Source organism: Homo sapiens, chromosome 2 (genome assembly GCF_000001405.40).
Source record: "Homo sapiens chromosome 2, GRCh38.p14 Primary Assembly".
NCBI lineage: Eukaryota > Metazoa > Chordata > Mammalia > Primates > Hominidae > Homo > Homo sapiens.
The window spans coordinates 96,880,091-96,899,667 of record NC_000002.12 but is presented as its reverse complement, the minus strand read 5'-3'; the positions used below and the strand labels follow the sequence as shown (position 1 = coordinate 96,899,667).

The window sequence follows — 19,577 nt, the reverse complement described above, 5'->3', positions numbered from 1 at the left end:
GGCTTAAGCTCTGGAGGTCAAGGCTGCAGTGAGCCATGACGGCTCCACTGCACTCCAGCCTGGGCGACAGAGCAAGACCCGCTTTTTTTTTTCTTTTTTTTTTAAAGTACATGGAGTGGCGCTGCCTCCCCTTGAGAGATCCTGGCCAGGCAGGTCTCCCAGGCTCCCCAGGGGCCAGGGTCTTGCAGCCTGTCAGGGCCAAGCCAGGTCCAGCCCACTTGCTGCATGCCCACCATGCACCCATGTGTTTATTAGACACTAGCTGAGCAACCTGAGTGCCAGGCTCTGTGCCAGGTACTGGCACTGGGGAGACAGCACCAGATGACCTCAGAAGAGAGGGGTGAGCAAGTCGGCCACGGCCATAGTGACTAACTCTGTCCAGGCACAGTGCGGCAGCTGCTAGAGAAGATGCCCTGAGCCAGGTCTTGGAGGCTGAGTCAGTGCTTGTACTGCAAAAAGGAGAAAGGGAGTGAGAGATTCATGGCGACTGGAGGGATAGGAAGGACTGGCAGGGGCCTGCCCATGGCCTTCCTGGAGCTCCTTCCCCATCTCCACTGCAAGCCCAGGGCTGCTCACAGCCTCCTCCCAGGTCTTCAGGCTGCCAGGCACTCCCCTTTCCAGTCTGGCCTGTCAGACCTTCCTGAAACACTCCTTCAAAGGGCCACCTCGTCCCCACAGCCACCCACTCAGCCCACATGCCCCTTTCCCAATGTCTCCTCCACGGGGCTTGCCAGTGCTGCATGTTCTCATCGGGCCTCCTCACAGGCCCTGCCTGCCCTCTGCACACAGCTTTTGCTGTGTCTGGGCCTCTTCTTCCTTTCCACCTGTCACCCCCGACCCGCAGTAGTGGCAGCTCCCATGTACAACAGCACAGCTGTGTCCTGGCTGCTGTCCTCAGTGCTCGCCCCTCCTAGCAGCCCAAGGCCCTCAGACTTACTGTCATCCATATTTTACAGATAGGGGAACTTTCCAGGGTCACCCAACAGGGAAGTGGTACAGCCGGGATTATTTTATTTTTGAGGCAGGGTCTCACTTTCCCAGGCTGGAGTGCAGTGGTGTGATCACGACTCACTGCAGCCCCAACCTCCCTGGCTCAGGTGATCCTCCCACCTCAGCCTCCCGAGTAGCTGGGACTATGGGCGTGCACCACCACACCTGGCTAATTTTTGTATTTTTTTAGCGGCAGGGTTTCGCCATGTTGACAAGGGTGGTCACAAACTCCTGGGCTCAAGTGATCCTCTTGCCTTAGCCTCCCAAAGTGCTGAGATTACAGGCATAAGCCACTGTACCCCGCCTAGAGCTGAGATTAAAGTCCTGCCCTTGACCACTGCAGGGCACCGCCTTAGCCTGTCCAGCTCTCTCCTTGCCTCTGGACATCCTGGACCACACCCGCCACTTCATGGTGAAGTGCCCTGCTGGGTCCTTGGGCTTTAGTCCCGGTTCACAGACAGGAGGACAAGGGCCGTCCCTCCCTTTCCTCATCAGTGCACAAGTGCTGGAGAAATCCTATCAATCGATTCACTGTAAAAGGGGGCACAGGGGTTTAGAATTGACTGGTGTAGGAGCAGAGGACCTGGGGCTGGATCTGGGCACAGCAATTTGCAGGGCACTGCTGGGCAGGAGTCCCTGATGGCCAAGCTGCTGGGCTCTGTATCTCCCACAAGCTGCAGCGGAGGCCCCATGGAGCAGGAGCAGAAGCACACGTTGGAGAACTGAACTTGAAGGACAGGACTTACAGCATTGAGGTCACACAGGCAAGTGGAGGCTCAGTTAGCCAGAGCCTCAAGGCTACGGTGAGGGTTTTGACTTCTGCGCAGAAGTGGGGAGCCCCTGCAAGGATTTGGGCAGAGAAGAAACAAAATCTGATTTATACAACGTTTAAAAATTACTCTGCCTGCTGTGTTGAGAAGAGATTACTGGGAGTGGAGAGGAAGGAGGTGATTGCAGTAATCCTGGCAAGAGATGACAGTGGTTTGGCCTGGAGAAACAGCAGCGTGGGCGGTGAGAAGTGGTCAGGTTGTAGGTGCATTTCCCAAGTACAGACAGTGGGATGTGCGATGCAAGAGAACAGAGACAAGGACTCTAGGTCAGTGCAACAGGCGGGATGGAGACGCCCTTTGCCTACCCTAGGCAAGACGCAGCTGGAGCAGGTTTGGGGAGGAAATCAGGAGTTTGCTTCTTATCCTGGGGCACTTCTTGCAACACAGTAAACCTCTTGTCAAAGTGTGTCTTCCAGTTTGGGATTTGGAAAACGTGGGCTTCGGGTGGCTCAAATCGGGGATAAAGGTTTGCATCTACTCAGAAAATGTTAGCTGCAGTCTTGACTGTTCATTTATTCATTCAATCATTTGTTCATTTGACAGATACTTACTAGACATGTACCATGTGCCAGGCACGGTGCTAGGTTCTGGGGACTCTGCAGTGAAAAAACTGCCCTCAGAGAGTTTACATTCCAGGGAGTGGGGGGGAATAGGTGATAAAAAGCAAGTAAATTGCAAAGGGGCCAAGCGCTGTGGCTCACTCCTCTAATCCCAGCGCTTTGGGAGGCCAAGGTGGGTGGATCACTTGAGGTCAGGAGTTCGAGACCAGCCTGGCCAACATGGTGAAACCCTGTCTCTACTAAAAATACAAAAATTAGCTGGACGTGGTGGTGGCCGCCTGTAATCCCAGCTACTCGGGAGACTGAGGCAGGAGAATTGCTTGAGCCCAGGAGGTGGAGGTTGCAGAGAGCAGAGATTGTGCCACTGCACTCCAGCCTGGGGGACGGAGCAAGATTCTGTTTAGATAGATAGATAGGCAGACAGATGGGAACTTGGGCAGGTGGGCCTCACTGAGAAGGTGGGTGTGGAGCAACGGCTGGAAGGAAGAGAGAGGCAGGTGCTGTCTGGTCAGAAGGCCCAGGCAGGGCACCAGCTCCAGGAAGCAGCAGGCAGGTCGTTGGGTCTTTGCAGACACTTAAGATCTTGGCTTCCTGTCCTAGGTGAGGAGGAAGCCAGGATTTGCACCCAGGAGCAACATGCTGTGTGGCCAGTTGCTTCTCTGGAAATCAGCCTCCACCACCTCTTCCCTGCCTCTGAGAAGGCTGGTGGAGGCCTGTCTTCCTGAGGGATCATTGCTTCTCGCCCTAGGTGTCTGCCCTAAGCGGCCGAGTGTTTGTAGAGCCAGCTGCCAGCAGTGATGTCGGTGTAGGGAGAGTTCTGGTCTGGCCCATCCCCGCTGGTTCCTGCAAGGCCCAAACAACCCCTTATCCTGGAGAGGGGTTTGTGTGTGGGGGAGAGGCTGGCTGGAGCATCCAGAGATGGAAACAAAAGGGAATAAACAATCGGAAGGCACAACGGCACAGGCAGATCGCAGGGGCAGCAGCTTGCTGCACTGAGCACAGCCAAGCTGTTTTCATGAGTGAGAGGAAAAACACAAGAGCAAGCATCGCAAGAGTGCTGTCCTGTGCGCCCCTGCCCAGCCCCACCCAGGCCTCCCGTAGCAGGGAGGGTCCCGGCTGGGCGAGGCCTGCCCAAAGGCCACGCTGGGGGTGTGGGCTGCAGAGCCTGACCCTATGCTTGCACAGCTGTGAGCCCTGAGTGGGCAGAACTGTTCTGGAAACTATCTTGACTTGTGAAGCCTGAGGAAGGTGGCACAGCCATGGTTTGGGTGAAGCCCCAGATGGTGCCTCCCTTCGCCCAGAACCTTCCTCCCCCCTCCCAAAAGGATCAGAAACTAGGCTGAGAAGCCCTGGCCGCCTCCCAGAAGCTGAGGCCCTGGGCCTGACTCCTAGCCCCCAGCCCAGCTGCTCTTGTGGGCTGTCTCAGCCCATAACCGGCTGATGTGCTGAGCAGGTGGTAGGTGAGTCACCGGAGGAAGCCAGGTGTGCCAGCCAGGCTAAGCTCAAGAGGGGGGCTGGGCTGCAGGGCTCAAGCCCCTAGCCCATGGCCACCCTGCTTCTGTGCCATCTAAAGAGATGGTGCTTTTGTGAACTACCCTGGATCTGCTCCCACTTACTCCCCGCCCTGCCCCCAGGGCTGCTGTGGCCTCACAGAGGCCAAGGGCTGGGAGCCTGCCTGCCTCTGCCCCAGCCAAGAGTTAGCTTCAGGGCAGCTGGGCAGTCCTTGCTGGGGCTGGGCCCAGGCTACCCGAATCAAGTGCATGCACTGGGCCAGAAGGAGCGGCTAACTGTAGACACCTGGACTTACGCAGGTCACATTCCCTCCAGAGGGGTTCAGAGAGGTTGGGCAGTTTATTCAAAAACTAAATGGGGGCTGGGGCGGCTAATAGCTTAGGTGCCATAGTCAGCCAAAAGCAGTGTGTGGGCCTTGTGTTGAATCTCCCTTCAAACAGACCAACTGTTGGAGGACATTTTAGAGACAGAGAAAACTGAACACAGGTGTTGGATGATGATAAGGAAGTCTCGTTGATTCTGTTAGGAAAGAAATGGTATTATGATTAGATTGGGGGGAAATCCTTATCTTTTCTGTAGAAGCTCTTTATGGGTAAAACGATACGATGTATTTGCTTTAAAATCCCCTGGAAGGAAAAGAGCGGGAAGGGGAGTGGAAGGCAGGGGCTGAAGACACAGGCCAGGCGGAATGAAGATGATGGTGGTCTTGCTCATGGTGATGGACTGTTGGGGACTTAGTCCATGGTCTCTCTTCATGGTGTTCCAAACCTCCACAGAGAAGAGTTAAACCAAAAGAGAGGGATGCAAGGGAGGGTGGGCCCACAGATGCAGAGCGGCAGTGCAGGGGGTGGGGATGGGTGTGGGTGAGTGTGGGTGAGGGTCTGTGGGGGGGATGACTGGGTGGGTGTGGGTGGGGGTCTGTGTGGGGGGATGAGTGGGTGGGGGTGTATAGGGGGTCTGTGTATGTGGGTGAGTGTGTGTGTGAGTGGGCGTGGGTGGGGATCTATGGGTAGGGGGTCTGTGGGGGGGGTGAGTGGGTGTGTATGTAGGTCTGTGTATGTCAGTGAGTGGGTAGGTAGATGGGGGTGGGGGTGTGTGGGGGTCTGTAGGGGGGTGTGGGTGGGGATCTGTGGGTGGGGGGTCTGTGGGGGGGTGAGTGGGTGTGTATGTAGGTCTGTATGTGGGTGAGTGGGTAGGTGGATGTGGGTGGGGGTGTGTGGGGGTCTGGGGATATGAGTGGGTATGTGTGGGGGGGTCTGTGTGTATGTGGGTGGGTGGGTGAATGGGTGGGTGTGGATGTGGGGTCTGTGGAGGGGGTGAGTAGGTGTGGATGTGGGTCTGTGTGTACGTGGGTGAGTGGGTGGGGGGTGGGAGGCCTGGGTATGTGTGGGTGTGGGGAGGATGAGTGGGTGGGTGAGTGGGTGGGTGTCAGGTCTGTGGGGGGAAGAGTGTGTGTGGGTCTGTGTGTGTGTGGGTGGGGCGTGGGGGAGCTGGGTATGTTTGGGTACCCCTCCTCTCCTGGGAAGTATGTGTGATCCATTTTACAGATGAGAACACTCAGGATCCGAGAGGCCACAGTTCATAAGGTAGAGGTGGGTCTGTGTCTCAGAAGCCAGTGCCCTAACACACTGCCACCAGCTGAGGTGTCCAGGCCGATTCCCGGGAGCACCCTGAGCTCTTGGCCACCACCCTCTGTGAGTGACAGCCTCCCTTCTCCTCCCCAGCTGTCCTCGCTCAGCCGGCTCCTGGGCCTCATGAGGCCATCATCTCTCAGGCAATACCTGGACTCTGTGCCCTTGCCACCCTGCCAGGAGCAACAGCCAAAGGCTAGTGCCGAGCTAGACCACAAGGTGAGTGAGCACCCAGCACCCGCCTGCCTCCACCACGGTGCCACCACCACAGGTAGCAGGGAAAGGCAGGGCTGTCCACATTGCATGGCCTGCGGGTCCTTCCAGAACCCCAGGGCCATGCCAGGGCAGAGACCAACAGGCTGCCTCCCTGTGTTGAGCAGAGGTGCTCAGCATCTCACCTGTAATTAGTGCTGTTACCCGTGCCGCAGGCGCTGGGGACGCCCTGTGCGCAGGTGTAGGGGCCAAATGTCTGCCTGTCCCTGCTTGTGTGCCTTTTGTTGATCTGGGGTTGTCAGCCTTACAGCATGGTTTAGGGAGGATGCAGGAGCTGGATGCCAGGGAGGGGATGGGAGCACATCAGGATAAGCGCAGGGTTGTCTCGACGTGCAGGGCATCCCTTCTTCTGTAGGCAGAGCTGGGCCCAGCCTCCCTGTTCATTTTCACTGTGGTTGTCACTGAGTCTGAGTCCTTGGCCTGTCCCCAGTTCTTCCTAATTGACTTTCCAGACATTGCCCAGCTTTCCTGAAAGCCAAGTTCTGGTGGGAGTCAGGAGCAACAAGGTGCCCCAGGGCCTGCAGGTTGTGGAGTTTGGAACAGTGAGGCCTATGAGTCCCTGGGTGAATGTCAGAGCAGGGATGTGGTGGGTGTGAGGGCTGCAGAGTGGGCATCCCGGGCTCAGCTTCCTGGGGAGCAGGGCTTAAACCTCGATGTACTCTGCTGCCCCTGGGGACTCGGGAATGAAGAATGGAGATAGGGATCGTTATAATTGGGGAAGATGGTAATTCCAGAAACTCACTCGGAGGCTGGATGTTGATACAGAAGTCCAACCTTTGGGCATCACTCTGCAAATCAGATAAATGAATTAATTACTTAATGAACACAAATGAACCATTAAAGAGATATGCTAATCCCCAGGTGCACGCTCCTCTTCTGGAACATGTGGGGAAGGTTGTCTTTCAGTTGTGCCTAATATTAGTGCGTTTATGAGGCTGCTGCCTCCCAGGAGAGCGTGAGCTGTCTGCATGCCCCTTCTCTTGTGCCAAGTATTTCCCCAGAAACTGGAGCTGGTTATGGGCTGGTTATGGGGCCTCTAGAGAGGAGGTGGGGGTCAGTCCTGGGGTGGTCTGTCTAAACAGAACTCAGGGAGGCCTGGGCAGGGAGCAAGGAACAAGAAGGCGAGTGGTGAGAGAGAGGAAAGAGTGTCACGTCTGGTCTGGCTAAGCGGAGAGTGTGGCCTGCAGGCACCTTGGGGGCCAGTCCTGGGCCTCACCTAGCAGAGGTGTGATTCCTGCCAGGCTCACTCTGGTACAGAGGCTATCCAGGTGGCAGAAGACATTCTTTCAACAGCTGGGGAAGAGGGACAGTGAGCAGGCTGAGGATGCCTTTTCTTTAGAGGACTATTCTCACACACCTAAAGGAGGTTTGAAAGCCTCCCCCTGGTTGGCCGCCATATTGGAAATGACCTGTTTGGCCTGAAAACATGGAGGCACCGTGCAGCTCGGCAGAGCCCCAAAGGGGTAGGGTGCACTGGTCCAGGGCAGTGGAGAGGCAGGCGAGTCCCAGGCAGCTCTCAGAAGCCTTCACTGCAGCCCGAGACCACCTTAGACCCCCTCTGCTGCGCTCCCCTACACCTCTGCCTCTGAGTGAGGGAGCCCCAGGCCAAGGAGGGTACATGGGCACAGAAGTGTGAAACAGGCCCCTGGGCTGGGTTCTGTCCCCTGGGCTGGGCACTGTTCTGACTGGGAGGGGCCAGGTGGGGCAGGTGACTGGGCTCCACTCCCACCCCGGCCGGATGACTCCTCATTAGGCCTCAGCATGTTTCATCTTCAAAGAGGTTAGATGGGCCACTCACCAGCCAAAAACAACAGCGGCGGCATCCACCCTGTTTTATAAGGAGTGGTGGTCTGAGCCGTGGCTGAGCCTTTCATCCCCAGAGCTCAAAGTCTTTGCCTTTTCGTTTCCCTTCAGTGCCATGGGGAAACTGAGGCCAGAGTAGGGTTGACCTGAGGCGGCCCAGCCTGGAGGAAATGCCTACTTTCCCAGCGTTGGGGCTGCTGAGCTGAGCCTCTGCCTTTTGACGCCTACCCATCCCCCAGGCCCTCTCACTCCTGTCTGGGAGATTTCCTGCCCTGTGCGGCTGGGTCACAGCCCTCCTCCAGCCCTGCAAATAAACACTTCTGCCCAGCTCCTTCCCCACCTCCTCTGGCTGCCTCAGGCCTTGGCCCAGCCTCTCCCTCTGGGAAGAGGCTGAGAGAGCTGCTGTTGGTGTCCAGGGCACAACTTTCTCTCCTCACTGATCCCTTGGCAAGTAAAGTTGTCCCTTTGCTTGCCCCCTGTCCAGCTAGACTGTGGGCACATGCAGTGTCTCTAGCACTGCGTCCCACATTTGGCACTAGGTGAACGAATGAATCCAGTTTTAATTCCTTTGTCCTTCTCTGAACTCCCTTCTTCCATTCTGTTCTGGCATTCGCTGTTCGCTCTCCTGCCCCCATTCTGGAAACCTGCTGCCTCCTGTGTGCCATCTGACCAGCCTCTGCATCGTGGTCCCCTTGTCTCTTAAGGTCTTTGTATCATTAAGGCCACAAGAGCTTATAGCCTGGCCTTCTCCTGCAGGAGGCTCTGGACTAAAGAAGTATTACCTGCATGTGGCAGAACCAATCCCAGCACATCGTTTGTAATTATAAGCTAGTGAGGTCCTGCCTGGGAAAGCACCAAGTACTTCAGCAAAGGAAGCCATGAGCTCCTGCTGCAGCTGTGCATGGGGGTCAGGAACTGGAGTGAATCAGGGGCAACATAGATGCCTGCACTGGCCGTGTGTCCTGGCTTTGACCACAGTCCTAGCTGAGCAGGCAGAGCTTATATGGACTATAAGAGCTTCTGTGGACTATCCCGCTTAGTGAGCTGATAACGTTTTTAGCATTTTGAAGAGCTTCTGGATAAAGAAAACAAAGCTGAGCCGCTTTTGGTTATCTATGGCCCTGTGCATGCCTGGTTTGATCTGGGCTTTATTCTCAGAGAAGAGTAAACATCTGGTTTGGAGTGATGCTTGGGGGTCTGGTACAGCCATGTGAGAGGCAGAGGGCTTATTTGGCTGACAGTGGTAGAGGGTGTTTTCCTGTGGGAGAGTTAACACAGGAGAGTTTAATACTTAGAGTTGGCCTCTAAGTACTCCCTTTGGCCCATGGATACCAATTCGCCCCAGTTGCCTTCCCAGGCAATCAAGGGAGACTGTTCTTTTGGCCGCAGGCAGAAAAACATTGCATAACTTGACTCAATTTGCCACTGTCTCTCCAAGCTACCACCTGAGCCCACCAACCCAGAACCAGGGTCTTCTTGGGGCAGTTTATTTCCTCGTAGCTGACTTGTATAAACCATATCTGGCCAGATGTTTTCTGGTGTGTTCTATCCAGCCTCAGGGCTCAGGGTCATGGAGGTCATGGCCTATTCACTCTTTTTTTTAAACAGGGCCTGTCTCACTCTATTGCTCAGGCTGGAATGCAGTGGCGCCATCAAGGCTCACTGCAGCCTCGCCTTCTCAGGCTCAATAGATCCTCCTACCTCAGCGTCCCAAGTAGCTGGGACAGGCACATGCTACCACACCGGGCTAATTATTTATTTATTTATATTGCTTGATTGATTGATTGATTGAGACGGAGTCTTGCTCTGTCGCCTAGGCTGGAGTGCAGTGACTGACTGGATCTCGGCTCACTGCAACCTCCACCTCCCAGGTTCAAGCGATTCTCGTGCCTGAGACTCCCAAGTAGCTGGGATTACAGGCGCGTGCCACCATGCCTGGCTAATTTTTGTATTTTTAGTAGAGACGGGTTTTGCCATGTTGGCCAGGCTGGTCTCGAACTCATGACCTCAGGTGATCTGCCCACCTCGGCCTCCCAAAGTGCTAGGATTACAGGTGTGAGCCACCACGCCCAGCCAATTTTTTTTTTTTTTTAATAAAGATGGGGTTTTGTCACGTTGCCCAGGCTGGTCACAAACTCCTGAGCTCAAGCAGTCCTCCCACCTCAGCCTCCCAAAGTGCTGGGATTACAGGCATGAGCCATCTCAACGGGCCCCAATTCAATTCCATCGAGATTATTGATATTTTGGCTGTCAAAACCTGCTATTGCATATTATACTCCTCGTTACCACACTTCCTTATCATTTCTTGCTTTTCTTTTTGCTCTACTGATGCTCTATTTTTTTTTGTATTTATTTATTTATTTATTTATTTATTTATTTATTTATTTATTTGAGACAGAGTCTTGCTCTGTCACCCAGGCTGGAGTGCAATGGCACAATCTTGGTTCACTGCAACTTCTGCCTCCCAGGTTCAAGCGATTCTCCTGCCTCAGCCTTCCAAGTAGCTGAGATTACAGGTGCCCACCATCATGCCCGGCTAATTTTTGTATTTTTGTAGAGATGGGGTTTCACCATGTTGGCCGGGCTGGTCTCAAACTCCTGACCTCAGGTGATCCACCTGCCTCGGCCTCCCACAGTGCTGGAATTACAGGTATGAGCCACCGCACCGGGCCTACTGATGTTCTATTGATGAGGTTTTTTAATTCTGTTTTTCCCCTTAGGGATTTGGGAGGCATATAGTACAAGGATCTTTATGGTGGGATGGAAGTTTTTCTCCCGGTTGGTTAAATTTGGGGACTGTGAAGTTGTTAATTATTTCCCATTGTATGGAAAGAAACTAAGGACCACAAAGGGGGATGGTCCCAGAGCTGGGGCAGAGTCAGGCACCAGGAGCCTGGTCCCCATCTCCCCAGCTGCCCTCTGGGCATGTCCTCCTCCCAGCCAGATGATGTCCCCAGTGGATAACAGCTAAGGGGCAGTCTGTGGGTTCTGCACCTGTTATGGTCCCTGCGGGGGCACCACCCAGATCAAGGCCCCCGACTGAGCGCGAGTGGCTCTAGTCAGCTTTCTCGAGGTGCACACCACTTAAGGTCCCCAGCTCATGCTCCTGAGGCCTGGGGATGTGTGGCTTGTTTATTGGAGAAGTGCATTTGTACAGAATGGAGTTGTTGGCGGGGAGGGGGGGTGTGCTCCAGGGATTGGGTGATGCTCTGGGATAAACTCAGCCCAGCTGTGCCAACTCCACTGCGTTCATGCTCATTCTGAGTAGCTCTGCTCATGTTCTGCAGAGGGTGTGGCCTCTGCTGTGTGTTTGTGCATAAGTGCGTGCTGTGCACATCTCCTGTATATCCTTGTGGTGTGCCGCGTGTGTTGATAGAGTTGGCAAACAAGTTTTACTGCTTCGCTCCCGCTGCTGTAACTGCAGTTGTCTGTCCCTGTGCTGGGTGACCCTGCCAAGGGCCGCCTTAATGGGAGGTTGTGGAGAAAGGCCTGGCTCTCACTGCAGGGCTAGGCAGGGAGGGGGCCGCTGCCCTCTGGCAGCTGTGTGCTTGCCTCTGCCCTCTCTTGCTGGCATGCTCAACTCCAGCAATGGGACATGTGTTCCCCTGGGCACAGGCCACTTACCCTCTGTCCCCCTGAAAGGCAGGTGGAGCCTCTTTCTCCATTCTCGCCATGCTCTCTGCCTTCCCACCTGGAAGTGTCTGTCTCTTCCTTACTGCCCCACTGGGCTGGGGACCTTGGTCAGGCCAAGGTCAGGAGGGCTGGGAGGAAACCGACTGGTTTTGAGGAACAGAAAATGGATATTCAGAACTTGTGAGTTCCTCTCCTGTCTAATCTGTGGTTGGTTCTGTCTTACTTCCTCCAAAGTACAGAACATCAGACATCTTTAAAAATAAACCTCAAAGAGATGGCCTCTGGGAAGCTGACCCTCCAGGAGAGGGGGACCTCTACAGATCTGGGGACAGGCCAGTACTTCTGGGCATCCCAAAGCCAGGCAGGGCCCAGGCTCAGGCCAGCTTTGTTTGGGTCCCAGAAATTCTGGTTTCTTTGCAAGTGTACGAGCAGGCTTGAAGTGAGAGAGTTAAGCTGCGGAGGCAGGCTTGAAGTGAGAGAGTTAAGCTGCGGAGGCAGGCTTGCATTCTTCAGCCAGCTTTTGCTCAGGGCCTTGGCAGCACCCGGGCCTGCTCCCTGCCCCACCCCACCCAGGCCCAGTCCTCCCGGAGACCCTTCGGGGCCTCTCTCCCTAGGCAAGTGACTCATCAGCTTCCAACCTAACACTCTACCTGGGTCTCCTCATCCTTTAACTCTTCCTGGACAACGCTGTGGATTATCTTCTTCTCGTTCTGAGTTAGGAAAATAGACTCTAGTGCCTGTCACATCGTATGAAACTGCAATCCAGAGCCTCCGCCAGCTGGCCCAATGCATGGCTTCACTGCTGCACATCACACTGCGACATTTGAATCCAAGCAGTGATGCTCTCCCAGAAACGCTCTGTTCTCAACGCCGCGTCTTTGCTCCTGCTGTCCCTCCTTCCTGCGGAGCCCAGACTGTCTCTCCCGTCCTTGGATTGCTACGGGCATGGCTCAACCCGTGGCTTGTTTACATCTTGCTTCACATACTTGAACAGCTACCTTTTAGGGTCAATCCAGAGTCTCACCTCAGGCACAACCCCCATGGCTCCCCCTGAAATGCCTCACCCTGTCTAGATACAGTGGCTCAAGCCTGTAATTTCAGCACTTTCAGAGGTTGAGGCAGGAGGATCATCTGAAGCTAGGTGTTCATAGACCACCCTGCACAACATAGCGAGACCTTATTTCTGCAAACGGTTTGTTGTTGTTGTTGTTGTTGTTGTTTGAGATAGAGTCTCGCTGTGTTGCCCAGGCTGGAGTGCAGTGGCATGATCTTGGCTCACTACAAGCTCCGCCTCCTGGATTCACGCCATTCTCCTGCCTCAACCTCCCGAGTAGCTGGAACTACAGGCGCCCACCACCACGCCTGGCTAATTTTTTTGTATTTTTAGTAGAGATGGGGTTTCACCATGTTAACCAGGATGGTCTCGATCTCCTGACCTCGTGATCCGCCCGCCTCTGCCTCCCAAAGTGCTGGGATTACAGGCGTGAGCCACCGCGCCCGGCCAAAAGGTTTTTTTTTAAAAATGAGCCAGGTTTGGTGTTAACACGACACGGTGGCATACGCCTATGGTCCTAGCTACTCGGGAGGATGGCTTGAGCCCAGAAGTTCAAGGCTGCAGTGTTTGAGGCTCCCAGCTGTGCACCGAAGACGGCCAAGCACAGTGGGGAAGGTCCCTTACACGCCATCCTCAGTCTGCAGGAACAGCTCCCAGGCCGACCATGGCCTTCTCAAGTGCTCTCTGCGCATCACGTTTTCTGTCCCTTCTTCCCTGTCTTTGCCAGGAGTTTTTAGTGACGGAAACACAAACACAAATCCTGGAAAGCCCTGGGACAGTTCATCAGACTTAGAGGGACCCAAGGGCTAAACAGTGTCAAAAAACCTCAGTGTCACACCCTCCTCCTCCGGGCTCTGGCCCTTGGCGCCTTCCCAGGCAGGCTCTCCCCTCCTCCAGGCTCAACAGCCTTCCCTCAGCAGCCCTAGGCAAGTGACTCAGCTTCTAACCTAACACTCTACCTGGGTCTCCTCATCCTTTAACTCTTCCTGGACAAGAAAGAGCTTCGGCCCTCGAATCGTAACCAGAATGGCGTCTCATTGGCTTGGTTTGGGTCAGGTGCCCGTCTCTAAGCCAGTCACATTGGCAAGCTAGCATACAGTGAATGGCCAGCCTGGGATACACGTTCACCCCTCGAGTCAGGGCTGGAGTCACCACCATGGAACAGTTTGGTCTGAGTGTAGGGGACAGGAGGCTGGGACACTCTTACAAAGGAAGGGAAAGGACAGGATCCCTGGACGTGTGCAGCATCCCTGTGGTTCAGTCACGGGCAGTGGCCTTGTGCTCTGGTGTTGGTGGGAAGGATGAGGAGGGCAGTCCCAGGCTCTGGCCAGACGTGCCAACACCGCGGAGACAATTCAGTAAGTGAAAAAGCGAGACAAGAAGGGGAAGCCATGGGGAAACCATTGCTCTGTCAGGTGGTTATGCAACGCCCTGGCTGGTGTCAGTGACCCCCTCCACTCTACACGCTCACACGCACACTGACACATATGCACTGATGTATACGTGTACTGGCGTGAACTCTTACACATAGGCACCGAGAATCTTGTCCCTCTCTGGGTAGCTTGCAGAGCTAGGTTTTCTGGTCCACATCTCCCTGGTGTCAAGGTCTCTGGTCCCAGCTGGAGCAGCAGGAAGACCCCGCCAATCCCTGCCTGTCATCTCCCTGACCCCCACCAGCAGGAAGCCAGAGAGGAAGGTGGACTGGGTGGGAGCCCTCCGCCCTCCAGCAAGGATTTGCCTCCAGTGCCTTGGCTCCTGCCACCAGCCGGCGGATGGAGGAATGGGGAGACGCTCTGAGATAACCTCCCCACGGCAGGTCTGCAGGAATCTGGAGCTCTCAGCCTTCCATCTCTTTCCCTCCCCAGCCCCATGCGCCATGGCCTCCACATTCCCTCCCTGTCCTCAGTACCACGAGCAGGAGCCAGGGCTGCTCAGGGCCCAGGCCCCAGGCCCCAGCTAGAGATAGAACTTAAGAGATCCCCGCTGTGAAGGGTCTCGGATCTCTGAACTCACTCTCCAGGAAGCCAGAGGTGCAGGTGAGAGCTCCTGTTCTGAGGGCGTGGAGGGTGTGGGCACGTGCTGGGCCCCGAGTCCTCTGCAGCCTGGAAAGAGACACCCACCTCTCTACCCAGCAGGGCCCAAAAGCAAACTTCCATTCAATGGCCATTCACTGCAGCAGAGCCGGAAGTCCTGCCTGTCCAGCTGCTGCCAGCCTGTCTCCCATTAACCCTAAATGGGCCTCATCCCTGCTCCGTGTTTAGGGACCGTGTTTGGGTCACCCCCACCCCTTGCCCTAGCAGGCACTTTGACAGAATTGGGTGTCTTGCCTGGCAGGCCCCACCAGTGACGTCTGCTCTCTGGCTAAGACGTCTGCTCTCTGGCCTCTTGGCCCTGTGTCTTCTGGGACCCTAGGTTAGGAAGAGGTCTTAGGTCACCCGCCTCATTTCCTAGTGGTCGGTTATATGTCTTCATTTCTTCCTCACTAGGGCTTATGACCGGCGACCTGTCCTGGTCAGAGTCACTTCCCAAGTCAGCTTGCCTTTGGGAACAGAGCTTTCGATACCGCCCTCTGCTTCCTTCTTTAGTGTCTGCCAAAGCCAAGGCTCAGAGGTGCAACCTTGGAGCAGAAGCTGCCTGGCCAAGGGGAAGAGGTTGTGCGGTTTGCTCATGGGGCAGGGAAGACATGGCAGCCTCGTCCTGGTGGCCAGTGCCACACTGCTGGGGCTCAGAAGGCACGTAGCTAGGAAAATGCATCCCCTTTCGCCTGGTGTCCTGTGGACACACCAGTCACCTAAGCTCTGTCTCCCTCCCCAGACTGAGGCTCTTGGCCTGGGGCCTGAGTAGCCCTACCTCAGATTACTCATGATTCATCGCTGTTGTGCCCAACCTGTGTGGATACCTAGACCGTGCCCCGGGGGCCCAGCCTGCAAAGGGCTTTCCTCCTCCACCCTGGGGGAGCAGCCTCAGCCTCGCCCTATCCTTCCAATAGGAGGCCCGTGGACCCTTGCTGTTTCCCAAGGGGGATGTCCACAGTGTGAATCCTCTTTAGAGACCCCACCACCATCCACGCACACCCGGGGAGCTTGTCCTGCTGAAGGCTGAGAGCCCAGACATCTGCTCTTGGGCCAGACCTGCCCTTCCTGGACACAGGGTCGTGCACATCAGGAACCCTCCCCATGCCGCAGCTTCCATGTCTGCTGAAGGCGGGGTCCCAGGCCCTCTCTGTGTGCGCTACTGGATCAGGATGCCGTGAAGTGGTACTATATAGGTTTAAATTGCACAAAAAAGGGAAAAAAAGGATTGTGGCCCAGCCCCAGCCTCGGGTCTGAAAGGGCCCAGGGTAGACCAGCACAGCTTCAGCCTTTCCCAGACTCCGTTAGCTCTAGAGTCGATCTTCAGTCCGTGTGCTTACACCTCTGTCCTGAGAGGACTCGTGTGTGGCAATGATGATACCAAGGCAGAATGCTTCTCCTGGGCTGGGCTGGACCTCTAGGCTCTCGAGATTGGGCTGAGAGCAGCCCAGCCAGGCTAGGGCTGTGAGCATGGAAAGGAGAAAGCAAGAGGACCCCCCCTGGCTCCTGGTACCCCAGGCCAGAATCCCAGCACCAGCAGACATCAGGGCCAGCTTCCTGAGTGAGAGGCAGGGACGGCTGGGGGTGAGCCCCTGGGCCTCAGCAGCCTGGCTGGGAGAGCCGTGCCCTTTGGGTCCATCTTCGTCCTTCCCAGCAGGTGTTCCTGGGTCAGCCTTGGTTCTCCCCCCAACACACACACAGTAGCTGCCCCAGAGCCTAGCTGGACCTGCTCCCGCAGGGTCCTCCTGCCAGAAACAGGTCTGCCTTCCCCACCCGGTCTGGCAGCCTCCAGGAGAGAGCTGGATTTGGGAAGACTTGCCCGGGGTTAAGACTGGATTCTTGGTCATGACCTGATGGGGGAGAAAGGTTATATGTTCTGGCCAGAGCGAGTGGCTTCCTGGGAGAGCCTCTCCGTCCTCCTTTCCTGCCCCCCTTCAGCGTAAATAGCCCAGGCCACAGCCCGCTCCCTTGGCATTGGCTAGAGGGGAATTTTCTAAAGGATGAAGTTCCTGGGAAATGTCCACCCTTTTTCCCTTTCGTCTATGACAAAAGCGCTGCTAATGGCTCCTAGTTGACTTGGGAGTCTTGGCTGGGGGAGCCTGGGGTCAGAACTAGCTGGACCAGAACATGGAGATGCTGACCTCCCTTCCTCTGGTGACAGTCCCAGTCTGCTGTCTGCTGTCACTCAGCCTTGTCATTCCTTCCCCAGGGGGAGGGCACGGCCCCCTTGAAGGCTGTAGAGCCAGGAGTGAGGCATTCCTGCATGGAACTTCTCAGAAGAGCCAGCCCACCAGACTCTGGGGAAAGACCCAGAAAACGGGAGCTCGGCCCTTGCTGGCAGCGGCCGCAGGGATGGGCTGGGCTTTTCTTGTCAGTATTGGGTCCGGGCATGCCCTCAGACTCTGCCTTTCCCCATGATGTTGACTGAGGTTTCCGGGGTCCCATTTCCCATTAGGGCTTCCCAGCCTGACTAACGTGCCATGGGGCAGGAGCTGGGTCCCGTCTTCAGACAAGGTTCTGAGGCCTGGACAAGTGTAGCCCCCCAGCACCCAAGGAGGGCTAACCCTGAGGCCACAATGACATCCCCACCGCACCAAGCAGTTCTAAGAGACCTGGAAGGGCCTCCCTCTGGCGTATAGAAGGGCCACCTTGTGCTCCCAAAGGGAGAGGAAGCAGGTAAGGCAGGGAGTGCAGCCTGGGCTCAGCCTCTCTCTCCTGCCTCGTGGAAGGGAAGATGAACCGTGCCTCTGTAGTGCCAGCCAGGACAGGAGCAGGCTTGCTAAGTTCAGGAATTGGTCACACTGCGAAGGAAGCAGGAAGCGCAGCTCTCACACCTGGCCCTTCTTGTCTTGCTGGGAAGGGCCCCCTCACTCGCCCACCCCTGCCTGCCCTGCACCACTCCCGTGCCTGCCCCTGCCACGTTGGAGGGAAGGGAGCTCAGGGAGCCGCCAGCAGTGCATCACCAGCAAGCCAGCTGAGCTGGGCGAATCGGGTGTCCACAGCCGCTGGCGGTTTAGATGGGGAGACTCAGGGTCTGCCTGCTCCTGGCTACAGAGTTCCCAGTTTCCACTGAGGTTTTGTTCCTCTGACCTTCACACAGAGAGAGGGGTCTGGTGGGAGGGTGGGGACACCTTGCTTGTTGTCTGGACAGGATCAGACTCTCTCTTACCTCTTTGCAGCTCTGAGACCAAGAGTCCTGGGGAAATGCAGGGAGGAGATGGAAGTGTGGGTGTTTCCTATGCCAATAATGAAGGCTTCTTTTCAAAATCCCTACTGGGAACCCAGCTTCAGCCAAGCTCCCAGAGATGTCCCAAGGGAGGGCATCTGCACAGCCACCAATCTCCTTAAATTGGGTCAACGTCTTCCTTATAGGAAGCACCTCAAATGCAAGGAAGACATGCACCCAGCCACCCAGCCTCCAGGCAGTGGCAGGTTTAGGTTTTTCCCTTTGGGAAAAACAACTTATAAAATGTGGTTAACAGGGTTTTTCTCTAGGACTGCCATTTCCTACTCACTATCCACCCAAACACTCGGAATAGTTTTTCTGGGATTCCCCTCCCCCCTCCCTGCCCCCTGCAGATTCAATTATGGGAATTAGCATAAGAAACAAGTTGTGAAACCAGTAACTCTCCACTGCCTGGGGTAAGTCCACTGACAGATTTTTCCTCCCTGATGTTCCTCCAGGGCATTCCTCAGATCTCAGACCCTCCCCACGACTCCTTCTAGGAGGGGAAGTTCTGCAGCCGGGCCTCCTCCAGACAAAGAGACTCCCCCGAGAGCCCATGGGTGGAGCAGGCCAGTGAGCTGCGCCATCAGCAGTGGGGAGTGAAAGGTCTGAGAGGGACAGGCCCCCTTTCGCCCCTCCCAGTCCCACACATTCTCCCTCGCAGACAGCCCAGGGTGCCTTCCCCAGCTGTCCTCAGTGACGGCCCTGATAACCCTTGGATGTTTTCTTCGGCATCCCCTGCCACCTCTCATCATTAGATTGCCCTCTCAAAGAGGGGCCTCAGCTTCTTCCTTTTTTTTTTTTTTTTTTTTTGAGACCAGCTTTTGCTCTGTTGCCCACGGCTGGAGTGCAGTGGCACAGTTACAGCTCACTACAGCCTCAACCTCCCAGGCTCAAGTGATATGCCTGCCTCAGCCTCCCAAGTAGCTGGGAATCCAGGTGACCATGCTGGATAACCTTTTGGTTTTGTTTTCTGTGGAGTCGGGGTCTCACTATGTTGCCCAGGCTGGTCTCAAACTCCTGAGCCACAGCCTCCCAGAATGCTGGGATTACAGGCGTGAACCACCTTGCCCAGCCTGGGTCTCGGCTGCTTTTCATGGCCAAGTCCCGCTCCCATGCCTCACACCCACCCCAAACCCAGTTAGGTTCAGCCAATTACCGTTGGCAGTATCTTGTTAAAAAAAAGTTTTAGCCGGGCGCGGTGGCTCACGCCTGTAATCCCAGCACTTTGGGAGGCCGAGGCGGGCGGATCACAAGGTCAGGAGATCGAGGCCATCCTGGCTAACACGGTGAAACCCCGTCTCCACTGAAAATACAAAAAATTCTCCGGGCACGGTGGCGGGCGCCTGTAGTCCCAGCTATTCCAGAGGCTGAGGCAGGACAACGGCGTGAGCCCGGGAGGCAGAGCTTGCAGTGAGCGGAGATTGCGCCACTGCACTACAGCCTGGGCAACAGAGCGAGACTCCGTCTCAAAAAAAAAAAATGTTTTAAACCAACTCTCATTGTATTCTCCTTGTATGAGTACACACATTGTAGAGAAATAATCTTAAAAAAGGAAAAAGGAAAGGTAGGGATACCCTGTAATCCTTTCTCCCAGAGAGAGCTCATTTTCCTGCTACCTAGTACATTCCAGCACACCAGTGTGGCCACATTCTATCACCTGCCTCCCCCAGGCACCCCCAGCCTGTTCCCACAACTCTGCCCCCCAGGTTGTCCCCACTCCCTTGCACCTGTACTGGCCTCTGTTTCTGGAACCGCCCTCAGGGTCTGTGGCTTCTGTTTCTGGAACCGCCCTCAGGGTCTGTCATCAGCCCTCCTCTGCCTGCACAGGGCCATCTTTGCCTCGAATCCTACTGTTCCTTTGAGGCCCACTTCAGCTTAGTCAATTCCTGAAGCCTCTAAGTTGTACTCGCCATCCCCCAAAAAACCCTGGAAGGGCCCTTTCTCCTTTTGGTCTGTGCAGAAGCAGAGGTATGTTATTTCCTGACCGAAT

The 19,577-nt window shown here is 55.6% G+C and overlaps 1 protein-coding gene across 3 annotated transcripts in view, besides 4 other annotated features; it reads left to right on the top strand.

Annotated features, from left to right (window-relative positions):
- Positions 1-19,577, top strand: part of FAM178B (family with sequence similarity 178 member B) — a 110,696-nt gene that overhangs the window by 86,913 nt on the left and 4,206 nt on the right. Inside the window, exons 1-2 of one of the 3 annotated variants that reach the window (NM_016490.5) lie at positions 1,535-1,754; positions 5,617-5,742. In NM_016490.5, the coding sequence (NP_057574.2) occupies positions 5,647-5,742 (96 nt within the window). In that variant the 5' untranslated portion in view covers positions 1,535-1,754; positions 5,617-5,646. Of the gene's footprint in view, positions 1-1,534; positions 1,755-4,499; positions 4,608-5,616; positions 5,743-19,577 lie in introns of those variants that run through there. The other 2 variants (NM_001172667.2, NM_001122646.3) reach the window with 2 other exon arrangements.
- Positions 791-935: a silencer, noted in NCBI's record as "fragment chr2:97564470-97564614 (GRCh37/hg19 assembly coordinates)". NCBI's record gives its function as "represses an EF-1alpha promoter that drives an FKBP-Casp9 reporter gene in an ReSE screen in phorbol 12-myristate 13-acetate-treated (for megakaryocytic differentiation) K562 erythroleukemia cells {active_cell/tissue: K562(+PMA)}" and the evidence as "EXISTENCE:reporter gene assay evidence [ECO:0000049][PMID:32094911]".
- Positions 8,482-8,776: a silencer, noted in NCBI's record as "tiled region #12522; HepG2 Repressive non-DNase unmatched - State 20:ReprD". NCBI's record gives its function as "represses a minimal TATA promoter and a strong SV40 promoter by Sharpr-MPRA in HepG2 cells {active_cell/tissue: HepG2}" and the evidence as "EXISTENCE:reporter gene assay evidence [ECO:0000049][PMID:27701403]".
- Positions 11,511-12,066: an enhancer, noted in NCBI's record as "H3K4me1 hESC enhancer chr2:97553339-97553894 (GRCh37/hg19 assembly coordinates)". NCBI's record gives its function as "activates a minimal SCP1, AML or CMV promoter by ChIP-STARR-seq in primed H9 embryonic stem cells {active_cell/tissue: H9 hESC(primed)}" and the evidence as "EXISTENCE:reporter gene assay evidence [ECO:0000049][PMID:30033119]".
- Positions 17,071-17,626: an enhancer, noted in NCBI's record as "H3K27ac-H3K4me1 hESC enhancer chr2:97547779-97548334 (GRCh37/hg19 assembly coordinates)". NCBI's record gives its function as "activates a minimal SCP1, AML or CMV promoter by ChIP-STARR-seq in naive H9 embryonic stem cells {active_cell/tissue: H9 hESC(naive)}" and the evidence as "EXISTENCE:reporter gene assay evidence [ECO:0000049][PMID:30033119]".